The sequence below is a fragment of the Homo sapiens genome, chromosome 3 (assembly GCF_000001405.40).
Source record: "Homo sapiens chromosome 3, GRCh38.p14 Primary Assembly".
NCBI classification, from domain to species: domain Eukaryota; kingdom Metazoa; phylum Chordata; class Mammalia; order Primates; family Hominidae; genus Homo; species Homo sapiens.
Window position 1 is genome coordinate 183,156,447 of NC_000003.12, and position 12,754 is coordinate 183,169,200.

At 47.6% G+C, this 12,754-nt stretch overlaps 1 protein-coding gene across 4 annotated transcripts in view, besides 4 other annotated features; it reads right to left on the minus strand.

Moving 5' to 3' along the window:
- Nucleotides 1–7,367, minus strand: part of LAMP3 (lysosomal associated membrane protein 3) — a 41,599-nt gene extending 34,232 nt beyond the window's left edge. For 3 of the 4 annotated variants that reach the window (NM_014398.4, XM_047447967.1, XM_011512688.3), the window contains exon 1: nt 6,161–6,288. In NM_014398.4, coding sequence (NP_055213.2) covers nt 6,161–6,209 — 49 coding nt within the window. In that variant the 5' untranslated portion in view covers nt 6,210–6,288. Of the gene's footprint in view, nt 1–6,160; nt 6,289–7,173 lie in introns of those variants that run through there. The other variant, XM_005247360.6, reaches the window with a different exon arrangement.
- Nucleotides 2,065–2,354: an enhancer, noted in NCBI's record as "active region_20885". NCBI's record gives its function as "activates an Ori minimal core promoter by ATAC-STARR-seq in GM12878 lymphoblastoid cells {active_cell/tissue: GM12878}" and the evidence as "EXISTENCE:reporter gene assay evidence [ECO:0000049][PMID:35858748]".
- Nucleotides 3,055–3,554: an enhancer, noted in NCBI's record as "H3K4me1 hESC enhancer chr3:182877289-182877788 (GRCh37/hg19 assembly coordinates)". NCBI's record gives its function as "activates a minimal SCP1, AML or CMV promoter by ChIP-STARR-seq in naive H9 embryonic stem cells {active_cell/tissue: H9 hESC(naive)}" and the evidence as "EXISTENCE:reporter gene assay evidence [ECO:0000049][PMID:30033119]".
- Nucleotides 5,467–5,676: an enhancer, noted in NCBI's record as "active region_20886". NCBI's record gives its function as "activates an Ori minimal core promoter by ATAC-STARR-seq in GM12878 lymphoblastoid cells {active_cell/tissue: GM12878}" and the evidence as "EXISTENCE:reporter gene assay evidence [ECO:0000049][PMID:35858748]".
- Nucleotides 6,289–6,498: a silencer, noted in NCBI's record as "silent region_14936". NCBI's record gives its function as "represses an Ori minimal core promoter by ATAC-STARR-seq in GM12878 lymphoblastoid cells {active_cell/tissue: GM12878}" and the evidence as "EXISTENCE:reporter gene assay evidence [ECO:0000049][PMID:35858748]".
- Nucleotides 7,368–12,754: the final 5,387 nt, after the last annotated feature.

A 12,754-nucleotide genomic window follows, 5' to 3' on the forward strand; every position in this document is an offset into this window, starting at 1 on the left:
TTTGTGGTTTCTCAGTGTTTACCCACAGACTCTCAGGAGAGCTGGAGCTGTCCTGTGCTGGGCTGAGAAAGGGAAAGGAGATCACGCTATGCTAGTATTTACAAAGTCCTAAAGTTCATACCCAGTAAAAATAATTCATATATGCCTTTTCTATCTCCCTCCACCATTCAATACACTTCTAAGTGGTTACTTTTCTCATATTAATAACAATAAAAATTCCAAGTTACTGGACACTTACTACATAGAAGGCCTTAGGTCAAGGGTCATCTTTTACCAACTTCTCTCAAAAACACTTTGGTGGGTACTACTTTATCCATCTTTCAAATGAGGAAACTCAGGCTTGGAAAATTTCAGCCATTTGACCATAATGACACAACTGGTCAAAGTTGGGGCGGAGACTTGAGCACCGGTACATCTGAATCAAAGCTTGCCCTTGGGTTTGAGGGGTGGTGGAGGTGGGGTGTCGCTGGGAAGAATGGTGAGAGAAGACACAAAAGCAGAGGAGAGAGGAACAGGAGGGTGCCCTCCAGTGACCCCAATTCATGAAAACCTCATAATGATGATCCTTGGTGAGGGTTTCAAAAGTTCATGTGCTGAAAAGGGGATTATTTTCCAGAAGAAAAGTTCTAACTTTAAGCCCAGTAGTAAGACCTGTGAATTATTTCTGTACAGCTGGTTTGCAAAATAGGAAAGACCAAAGCACCAGTTCAAATTGCCTTGATAACCTTATAAAAAGACCGATGACTATTAATGACATTAAGTTATTTGAGATCATTCTTTAAGGGTCTTTTTTTTAAATCGAAAATATCCATTTGGATAAGTTAAATGCATGATACTTGAGAGTGGTAGGTTTGATGGGCTATAGGTTTACCTACAAACTTTTGTAAAATCCCTGCACGTAGAACTTTTATGCCCATGTCATGGAGCTTGGAGAAAGATTTTTCACTTTGAGATTATAATGGAGGTTGAGTGTTGTTGAAGATTTATTTTAGCAATTCATTTGGGTAAAACCCGCGTTGCTGGTTCTCTGGTCAAACACCAACGAAAGCCCCATTAGATTCATACTATTACAATGGAGAAAGAGAATTCACTCTCAACTGTGGCTTCCAGGAATATCTCGTGGTGAAAAGTAAAGATTGCTACAGAGACCTCCAGGAGACTAGAAAACACTTGCCAGTTGTTCTCTTGGGGAAGTGATTATATCCTTGATAAAATCCTACTGTGTATGGCTGGTGTTTATAAGCTAAAGAGAATCTTCTCAACTGAGTTCAGTTTCCTAAACTCAGTAGTGCACCCTTAAAAAAAACAAAAAAAGCCTTCCTCAAGATGCAACTAGAACTCTTCTCTCAGTGGTAATGAATGAACTCAAATAAATAAAAAAAGGACTTAATTGTTCACAAATGAACGGCATCCTAAACAAGCCAAGAAGATATGTGGTACCCGGTCAAGGTGTGCTTCCTATGTAGGAAGCCTTGGTGGGGTGGCTAGAGGTGATGGCAGTTGAGATGTCTTGATACGGTGTGTAGGTGTAGGTGTGTCTCTGGGTGGTAGACAGAAGGCTGGGCTGGCAAATGGCTCAACCAAAAGTGCCAAGTTCATGGGTGTTGGAGATTGAACCTGTCAGAGAAGTATAGTTCTCACCCCTTCTCCTTCCCTCCTCTGGCCCTTCCCACTCTCCTCTTCTCCCTGTGTGGGGTATAAAAGATAGGCAGGTGATTCAACTGGGGTAGGTATCTCTGCATTGTAAAGTAGCTCAGAAAGACCATGAGAGCTACTCTATAATGTATATGACCACACACATGGTCTATGTATACGACCACACATATATGACTGATTTCTGTCGAAATTGGGTCACAGTTTTTAAATGGGATGTTTGGCCCTATAGAGGTTTAGTCAAGGTCACAGGTTTGTCTGAGGCCTAGAAAGAGGGCAGTGGGCAGAAGCAAGGGCAGGCATAGCCCAGACTTTGTCTGGACCCTCCCTCTATACACAGAACATAGTGCTGGTGTTCACACACTCATCTGCCCACCCCCACCCCACCCCACCCCAGCCTCCCCTCTCCAAAATTCAGGAGACTTGGCAAACAAGCACCCCAGGGCCTTGATCCATTGCTTGGACTCCACTAGATGGAAATTTGCATGAAGAGGCGTTAGAAGGTTTTGGTTCCCCTACAACCAGTGGGTGTGAGATGAGTCATTGCCCAGTCCCCTGAGAAAGTCAGTGATCTCACAAGGGATTGTTTCTAGGTATTTTCCTGACAGCCAGTCCCTTCCCAGACAGCCTTTGGTTGGTTTCCCTGCCACACCACTCAACAGTATGTACGGGTCTCCTCTCAGGCAGGCTCTGTACCAGGCACTGGGGGTAGGTCTTTGTTCTCAGGGGCCCTGTGAGGCAGACACATGAGTAAACCACACTTCTCAGTGTGACAAGTGTTTTTTTTTGTCTTTGTTTTTGTTTTTTTTTTCTCCTTGAGACAGGGTCTCACTCTGTCACCCAGGATGGAGTGCAGTGGCATGCTCAGGGCTCACTGTAGCCTCAGCTTCCTGGGTTCAAGCGATCCTCCCACCTCAGCCTTTCCAGTAGCTGCGACTACAGGCATGTGCCACCATGTCAAGCTAATTTTTGCATTTTTTGTACAGTCTCACCATGTTGCCCAGTCTGGTTTCAAACTCCTAGGATTAAGTGATCTGCCTACCTCAGACTCCCAAAGTGCTGGGATTACAGGCATTGGCCACTGTGCCCGACTGACAAGTGTCTTTATCAAATCCCCAGATACTATGAGAGTGTGGGTAGGGTGGGAATCCAACACAAGGATAAATTCTTCAGGCAGACAAAGGAGGAGATGGTTTCCAGACAGGAGGAAGAGAATGTGTAAGGGCGCAGAGGCTTCAGAAGTCTTGTATGTCTGGAGAACAGCAAGGGGTCAGCATGACGGGAACACAGGGACGGTATGGGAAGGGAGGGGTGAGGAGGGGAGACCAGCAGGGAGCAGGCCTGGCAGGCCTTGGAGACTACACACTGTCTGCAGAGCTCTGAGGAGCACAGTCAGGGAGTCATTGGAGCCCCACGGCCATGTCCAGGTTCAGGGAATCACAGTTTAGCCCCCAGCATGTTTTCTGGCACCTCTAGGGGCAGCAGAAGCAGCCCCAGCAGGGTGCAGCAGAGAGAGTCAAGGAAATCCTAGAGCAGAAGGGCCACTATCCCTGTGACAGACTGCTGGCTGACTATTCCAAAACCCAGTCTCCCCTTCTTTCTAACAGTACCTCAAGTTTCAGCTGAGCACTTGTTGCCTGGAATAAAGAGTTCTATGTCTAAACCTCCTTTCTAGCTGGGTGGGAGCATATGACTGAGTTTTAGCAAAAGAAGGGAAGTGTTAAGATCATGTGGGCCTTCTGGGAAGGCTGGGTGAAGGCAGCTCAATCACCTGTGTGGACTGCCTTTCTACAGCCCTTCTGTTTTTCCTCCTTTGACCAACCTGCAACTTGTATGTGATGGCTGGAGCTCCAGCCAACATGTGGAACCGTGAGGAGGCCTTGAGGGTAGAAGTCACATACCTATATGTCGGATCCTAATGACGGATCTCCAGTGAAGCACTCCCACACTAGAACTGACCTGAATTTCTCTGGACATGTTTTCACATGAAAGAGTAACAAGCAACTATCTTGTTTAATCTACTGTTATTTTGGCTTGTGTCTTACGTGTAACTGAACCTAAACTTAACTGACGTGAACTTAAATCCCCTCATTTTCTGGAGGAAAAATTTGAGATCAGGGAAGCAAGTTGACTGGGTAAAGATTACTCAGAGAGTTTACCCAAAAGCTCCGTCTCTCCTAGCAAAACTTTCTGATGATTTTTGCTCATTTCCAATTCAACAAGGATTTCTTGAGCCTATGCATGCAGGATCATGTAGCACAGTAGCGTAGAGCCTGAACCCCAAGGCCAGACTTCGTTTTTGTTTTGTTTTGTTTGAGACACAGTCCACTATGTTGTCCAGGCTGGTCTCAAACTCCTGGCCTCAAGCGACCTTCCACCTCAGGATCCCAAAGTGCTGGGATTACAGGTGTGAGTCACTGTGCCCAGCCAAGGCCAGATGTCTTGAATGCCAGTCTCAGGAATGCTACTCACTAACTGGGAGACCATGAACAATTCCTTAACCTGCCTCTGCCTCAGTACCGCCATCTGTAAAATAGGGATAAGAATAGCACCTACTTTTCAGGGTTCTTATGAGACTAAATAAGTTATAGGTAAGTAGATGTATGAGTAAAGCACATAGGTTAGCTGCTATGGGCACAGACTCTGGTTCAAAGCTCGACTCTGTCACCAGCTAGCTATGTGATCAGGGGCAAGTTATTTAACCTCTTTGTGCTTCTATTTCCTCGCAAGTAAAACGGAGACAATAGCAGTACTTACAAAGCTGTTTTGTGGATTAAAGCACTGCGAACAGTGCCTGGCATGCAGAGAGTGCCAGGAAGCCATGTCCATCATTGTTAATTACCATGTGCTGATGAGCCCTGTACTGAGTGAAGAAGGGGCTCAAGGTCAGGTTGTGAGGTGAATGGGAGAGGGACTGGAGGGACAAACAGGAGATACGAGTTAACATCACTGAGCAAAATCACTGCAGTAATTGCTGTCCAGGTGCTACCTCATTTGTTTCCCCAGTACTCCTAGCAGAGGATATTATTCTCCCCATTTTTCAGTGAGGGAACTGAGCACCCGAAAGGTTGGGTGATGTGAACAAGGCCTCCCTGCTGGGAAGGGTCAGGGCAAGGGTTTGAATCCAGTTCCGTGCCACCCCTCAAAGGCCTCCACCTCTGAGGAAGAAACCTCTGATGCATCCTTCACCTAGCTCACCTCTGAGAATTTGTAGCTCAGAAAGGAACCGGTAATGTGGGCATTTTCTCTCCACTTGCCCTTGCATTTGTCAATACTCACTGTATTTTTATTTTTATTTATTTATTTTTTTTGAGACAGAGTCTCACTGTTACCTAGGTTGGAGTGCAGTGGCATGATCTTGGCTTACTGCAACCTCCGCCTCTTGGGTTCAAGTGATTCTCCTGCCTCAGTCTCCCGAGTACCTGGGATTACAGGCGCCCACAACCATGCCCGGCTAATTTCTGTATTTTTAGTAGAGGCGGGGTTTCACCGGTGGCCAGGCTAGTCTCGAACTCCTGACCTCAAGTGATCCGCCGGCCTCAGCCTCCCAAAGTGCTGGGATTGCAGGTGTGAGCCACCACGCCTGGCCTGTCAATACCATTGTGTTTCTGAGCCTATCCATCCATTCAAGGAGCGCTCACATACAGGTCACTGTGGGTTACCGCTAGGCTGAGATTGTTTTGCTTTTTTAATAGCTTGCCCTGTGGAGCGTGATGATGACTTCCTCTTCTGTCCCCTAAAAGAACCTGAAACTGTAAGTGTGAAAGTGTGGCGCAGGGGAGAACTGCCTAGGCAAGGGCAGCTGGCACGACCCTTCTCACCTCTTCCCTAACATTCCTAGCATTCATGTTACAAGCAAGGGCCACCGCGCCCCCTGCTTGAGCATGTTAGCCGGGCGGTAGGGACGGAGACAGTTCTCTCATGACGTTCGAGTAACCAGGAAACTTCATCACAGGGACAACACCACAGCACCCGAGGACTCAATGTCTAGGGGGAAAAGCTCTGGAGAAAGCGGAGGGTCGGATCATAAAATAATCATAAACTCAGCGTCCCAGACGGCATCTGGGATGGGAAGTACAATGATCATTTAAAAAAAAAAAAGTCTTTGACACTCTTCCTACACCTTTCTGAAATGGCACAATCTGTCAGACCACATCTGATGCAAGGAAAAGCAAGACAGGAGCGCTTTTCCCGGATAACAAAGCCAAGACTCCCATTCCTAAACCCTAGCTCAGGTCTCCATCTCTTAAATCCGAGTGACCTCTACAAACTCTCCCTGAGAAGGTGTCCAGAACCCTTTTGGAAGCGAGGGACAGTGTCACTGTCTTTGGGGTTGACACCTGCTCTGAGTAACTCACGGAAAACAAGTTCCAGCTGGGAAGCCCTTGGACGCGCCACACCTCCCTACCCGCAGCCCGTCCTGTGGCGCCCGGGACTCCAGAGTGCGTTTAGATGAAAGGGGACCGACACGTCAGGGCCACCGCGGGAAGCGCTGAGGGCCACTCACCGGCCAGGGACGCGAAGAGCGCGGCCGCCGCGCTGAGCTGCCGGGGCATGGTGGGCGCTGGGCGAGGTTCTGCAGCGTGCGGCGAAGTCCGGGCAGGCCCCGAATCGGTGCCAGAGAAACCTACCTGTGCCGGAGAAACGAAACCACCTGCTTATGAGAAGCAGCCGAAAAGCCCGCCCAGGGCCGCTGGGCGGGGAGGGAAACTCCGCCGGCCCCCTCCTACCCCTACGGAGCAGGGAGGGGCGGGGACTCGGCGCAGCCGCCGGGGCCCGGGCCTCTGGGACCGTTTACCGCACGCGCGTGGTCCCGGCAGCGCCGGCCTCCTCCGCTCATACCCTGGGTCTCCTCCTTTCTTTTTCTTTTCTTTTTGAGACGAAGTCTCGCTCTGTCGCCCAGGGTGGAGTGCAGTGGCGCGATCTCGGCTCACTACAACCTCTGCCTCCCGGGTTCAAGCGATTCTTCTGCCTCAGCCTCCCGAGTAGCTGGGATTACAGGCATGCACCACCACACCCGGCTAATTTTTGTATTTTTAGTAGAGACGGGGTGTCACCATATTGGCCAGGCTGGTCTCGAGCTCCTGACCTCGTGATTCGCCCGCCTCGACCTCCCAAAGTGCTGGGATTATAGACGTGAGCCACCGAGCCCGGCCAGGGTCTCCTCTTTTATTTCTTTTCTTTTTATTTCTTTTGTTTTGTTTTGTTTTGTTTTGTTTTTTGAGACAAAGTCTCGCTCTGTCGCCAGGCTGGAGTGCAGTGGCGGGATCTCGGCTCACTGCCCTGGTTCAAGCGATTCTCCTGCCGCAGCCTCCCGAGTAGCTGGGGTTACAGGCGCCCGCCACCACGCCCAGCTAATTTTTGTATTTTAGTAGAGACGGGGTTTCACCCTGTTGGCCAGGCTGGTCTCGATCTCCTGACCTTGTGATCCGCCCGCCTCGGCCTCCCAAAGTGTTGGGATTACAGGCGTGAGCCACTGCGCCCGGCCCAGGGTCTCCTCTTTTCTAACAGCTCGGGTACCTTTCTGGGAACCCAGAGACGCTTCTCAGCCGGGAGAAAGCCAGCCACTAGGCGAGCAGGAGCCTAAAAACCCCTAAGCACCCTGACTCCATGTCTTCCCAGGGAGTCTGCGGCAGCCGCGCTCCACGCCCAGGCCTCGCCAGGACCGCGGTTTGCGGGAAGCAACAGGAGCACAGCCCAGAGGCGCTAGGTCTGGCTGGGAGCTCGCGCTGCCGACTCCCCGGCGTGCGGCGTCGGGGAACCTCTAGGAGCCTTGGATTCTTCAGCTGTAAAACGGACATAATAATGCCCACTCCCAGTGTGTTTTTTTATTTTCTTTTTTCTTTTTCTTTCTTTGTTTTTGTTTGTTTGTTTTTGTTTTTGTTTTTGAGACAGGGTCTCACTCTGTCGCCCAGGCTGGAGGGCAATGGCGTGATCTCGGCTCACTGCAAACTTGGGTTCAGGCGATTCTCCTGCCTCAGCCTCCACAGTAGCTGGGATTACAGATGTGCGCCACCACGTCCGGCTAATTTTTTGTATTTTTAGTAGAGACCAGGTTTCACCGTGTTGGCCAAGCTGGTCTCAAACTCCTGACCCCAGGTGATCCGCCCGCCTCGGCCTTCCAAAGATCTGGGATTACAAGCGTGAGCCACTGTGCCTGGCCCCAGGTGGTTTTACAGACCAGAAAATCCTGGAACAAAAAACACACAATATCGTTTTTTTTTTTTTTTTGGAGTCAGGGTCTCGCTCTATCACCCAGGCTGGAGTGCAGTGGCGTGATCTCGGCTCACTGCAACTTCGACCTCCTGGCCTCAAGTGAGTCTCCCACCTTAGCCTCCTGAGTAGCTGGGACCAAAGGCGCGTGCCACCACGCCCAGCTATTTTATTTTATTTTATGTAGAGAGGAGGTCTCGCTGTGTTGCCCAGGCTGGTCTCGAGTTCCTGGCCTCAAATGATCCTCCTGCGTTAGCCAACCATTGGGATTACAGGCGTAAGCCACGGCCCACGGCTCAACAACGCTGACAGGCAACCTTTTAATGTCTTATCTCCTTCCTCTATTAATTGGATTGTCTGTCAAAACAACGATGTTTTGACAGGGCTTGAGTCCCAGTGGGGAATACACATTTAAGCAGTATATTAGGAGACCCTCCTTATCACTAGATTGAGGGCTTTCAGCCTAGCCTCAAATTATTTTCTGAAAAATAACTTTGGCTACAACTATTTTGTCTTACTATGTTGCTCCAAACACTAATCAAGTAAACTTAACCAAAGCTTGCAGTGTGTTTCAGAATGGAATTTTTATGGTGAAAAGTGAGGGTTAACTTGTGCCAGTCAACCTAGTTTCAGCAACTACCTGCTTTCTGATCTTTGAGACAGTTTATTCAAAAGACGATAATTAAGTGGGTATAGACTGTGTGCCAGGCACTCTTCTTATTCCATTTAAGCGCCATAGCCACTCTATATGGACACTGTTGTTATTATCGCTGCCCCATTTCGCAGATGGAGAAACTAAGCACAAAGAAGGGAGTTGCCCAGAGTCACTTAGATAATAAATACCGAAACCTGACCATAAATCTTGTCTGCCTTGAGAGTCTAGGATTTTAAGCACATAGCCGGGCGCAGTGGCTCACGCCTGTAATCCCAGCACTTTAGGAGGCCGAGGCGGGCGGATCACGAGGTCAGGAGATGGAGACCATCCTGGCTAACACAGTGAAACCCAGTTCTATTAAAAATATAAAAAAATTAGCCAGGCGTGGTGGCAGGTGCATGTAGTCCCAGCTACTCGGGAGGCTGAGGCAGGAGAATGGTGTGAACCCAGGAGGTGGAGCTTGCAGTGAGCGGAGATCGCGCCACTGCACTCCAGCCCGGGCGACAGAAGGAGACTCCGTCTCAAAAAAAAAAAAATAAATAAAATAAAGCTGCTCCTCTTACCCTGGAAATTCCAAGGGATTTAGGAGCTCTGTTTCAGGAACCAGGGTCAAAGACCAAGTATTAAAACAAAAGATTCTCCTAGAACTCTGGCATATAAGGATTTTAGGAGCTCTGTCTTAGAAACTGGGACAGAGACCAAAGATATATTATTATATCGCAGTATCATAGTTTATTATTTTCAAAAAACGTTTTCTGGCTGGTACAGTGGTTCATGCCTATAATCCAAGCACTTTGGGAGGCCAAGGTGGGAGGGTCACTTGAGGCCAGAAGTTCAAGTCCAGCCTGGGCAACACAGGGAGACCCTGCCACTATTAAAAATTTTTTAAATTAGCTGGGCATGGTGGCACATGCCTGTAGTCCCAGCTACTTGGGAGGCTGAAGCAGGAGGATTGCTTGAGCCTGAGAGGTCAAGACTGTAGTGAGCTGCGATCAAGCGACTGCACTCTAGCCTGGGTGACAAAGCCAGACCCTGTGTCTAAAAAAAAGAAAAGAAGAGGAAAAAAAAAGGTTTTTATTTCAACTAAGTTGTTGGATTTATTAGCATAAAGCTTTTCATAACAATCCCTTGTCTTACAATATCTGTAGTATAGGTAGTGATGTCACTTCTTTTATTACTAATATTAATAATTTGTATTTTCTCTCTTATTTCCCTGCTAATATTAATAATTTGTATTTTCTCTCTTTTTTCCCTGATAAGTTTGGCTGGAGGTTGATCAATTCTATTCATGTTTTCAAGAAAAAAAAAAAAATTTCATTTCATCGAGTTCCTTCATTGTTCTTATGTTTTCTGTTTTATTCATTTCTACCTGATCTTTATTATTTTCTTTCTTCTACTTAACTTGTGTTTTATTTGCTCCTCTTTCAATAGTTTTCAAAGATGGAACTTGCCTGGGATATCCCAGCACTTTAGGAGGCTGAGGTGGGAGGATCACCTGAGGTCAGGAGTTCAAGACCAGCCTGGCCAACATGGTGAAACTCCGTCTCTACTAAAAATACAAAAATTAGCTGGGTGTGGTGGTGGGCACCTGTGATCCCAGCTACTCGGGAGGCTGAGGCAGGAGAATCGCTTGAACCCGGGAGGTGGAGGTTACAGTGAGCTGAGATCACGCCACTGCACTCCAGCCTGGGTGACAGGAGCTAGACTCTGTCTCAAAAAAAAAAAAAGAAAAAAAAAAAGATGGAAGTTGAGGCCAGTGGTATAAAATCTTTCTTCATCTCTAATAAACAGGTTTACTGTTATGAACGTCCCTCTAATTACTACTTTAGTTGGATCCCACAAGTTTAATATGTTTTCATTTTCATATAATTAGAAAGACTTCCTAATTTCCTTTTGCTATCTCCTCGACTCATGGTTATTTAAAATAGCATTATTTCATTTCCAAACATATAGTTTTTCAGATATCTTTCTTTTATTGATTTTTAATTCCACTGTGGTTGAAAACATAATTATGGACTTAAATCTTACAAATTTATTGATATTTGTTTTTTGACCAAGACTATGGTTGGTTACATTAGTTTTCAGGACTGACATAACAAAGTGCCACAGACTGGGTAATTAAACCACAGACATTTGCTTTCTTATAATTCTGGAAACCAGACATGTGAGATCAAAGTGTCAGCCGGGTTGGTTTTTTCTTTTTCCTTTTTTTTTTTTTTTTTTGAGACAGAGTCTCTTTCTGTCACCCAGGCTGGGATGCAGTGGTGTGATCTCGGCTTACTGCAAATTCTGCCTCCCAGGCTCAAGCGATTCTCCTGCCTCAGCCTCCCGAGTAGCTGGGATTACAGGTGCCTCTCACTGCACCTGGCTAATTTTTGTATTTTTAGTAGAGACGGGGTTTCACCATGTTGGCCAGGTTGATCTCAAACTCCTGATCTCAGGTAATACACCCGCCTCGGCCTCCCAAAGTACTGAGATTACAGGCGTGAGCCACTGCACCCGGCCCGGGTTAGTTCTTTCTAAGGCCTCTCTCCTTGGCTAGTAGACACCTTTGTTTCACATGGTCATCCCTCTGTGCATGCCTTTGTCTGTCCTAATCTCCTCTTCTTATAAGGACATTAGTCAGGTAGGATTAGTGCCTACTCTTTGAACTCGTTTTACCTCTTAAAGACCCTATCTCCGAATATAGTCACATTCTGAGATACTTGGGGTTAAGACTTGTATTAGTCCATTTTCACGCTGCTCATAAAGACATACCTGAGACTGGGAAGAAAAAGAGGTTTAATTGGACAATTCCACATGGCTGGGGAGGCCTCAGAATCATGGTGGGAGGCGAAAGGGACTTTTTACATGGTGGCGGCAAGAGAAAATGAGGAAGAAGCAAAAGCAGAAACCCCTGATAGATAAGCCCACCAGATATCATGAGATTTATTCACTGTCATGAGAACAGCACGGGAAAGACCAGCCCCCATGAATACATTACCTCTTCCTTGGTCCCCCCCTCCCCACAATATGTGGGGATTCTGGGAGATACAATTAAAATTGAGATTTGAGTGGGGACACAGCCAAACCATATCATTCTGTCCCTGGTCCTTCCAAATCTCATGTCCTCACATTTCAAAACCAATCATGCCTTTCCAATAGTCCCTCAAAGTCTTAACTCATTTCAGCATTAACCTAAAAGTCCACAGTCCAAAGTCTCATCTGAGACAAGGCCTTCCGCCTATGAGCCTGTACAATCAAAAGCAAGCTAGTTAGTTCCTAGATACAATGGGGGTACAGGTATTGGGTAAATAAAGCCATTCCAAATGGGAGAAATTGGCCAAAACAAAGGGGTTACAGGGCCCATGCAAGTCTGAAATCCAGTGAGGGAGTCAAATTTTAAAGCTCCAAAATGATCTCCTTTGACTCCAGGTCTTACATCCAGGTCACGCTAATGCAAAAGGTAGGTTTCCATGGTCTTGGGCAGCTCCACCCCTGTGGCTTTGCAGGGTACAGCCTCCCTCCAGGCTGCTTTCATGGGCTGGTGTTGAGTGTCTGCAGCTTTTCCAGGCACCCAGTGCAAGCTGTCAGTGGATCTACCATTCTGGGGTTTGGAGGACAAAGGCCCTCTTCTCACAGCTGCACTAGGCAGTGCCCCGATAGGGACTCTGTGTGGGGGCTCTGATCCCACATTTCCCTTCTGCACTGCCCTAAGAGGTTCTCCTTGAGGGCCCCACAGCTTCCACCCTCTGAACCATAGCCCAAGCTATGCATTGGCCCCTTTCAGCCATGGCTGGAGCAGCTGGGACAGAGGGCACCAAGTCACTAGGCTGCACACAACATGGGGACCCTGGGCCTGCCCCACAAAACCCCTTTTTCCTCCTGGGCCTCCAAGCCTGTGATGGGAGAGGCTGCTGTGAAGGTCTCTGACATGGCCTTGGAGACATTTCCCCATGGTCTTGGGGATTCACATTAGGCTTCTTGCTACTTATGCAAATTTCTGCAACCAGCTTGAATTTCTCCCCAGAAAATGGGTTTTTCTTTTCTGTCACATAGTCCGGCTGCAAATTTTCCAAACTTTTATGCTCTGCTTCCCTTATAAAACTGAACGCCTTTAATAGCACCCAAATCACCTCTTGAATGTTTTGCTGCTTAGAAATTTTTTCCACCAGATACCCTAAATAATCTCTCAAGTTCAAAGTTCCACAAGTCTCTAGGGCAGGGGCAAAATGTGGCCAGTCTCTTTGCTAA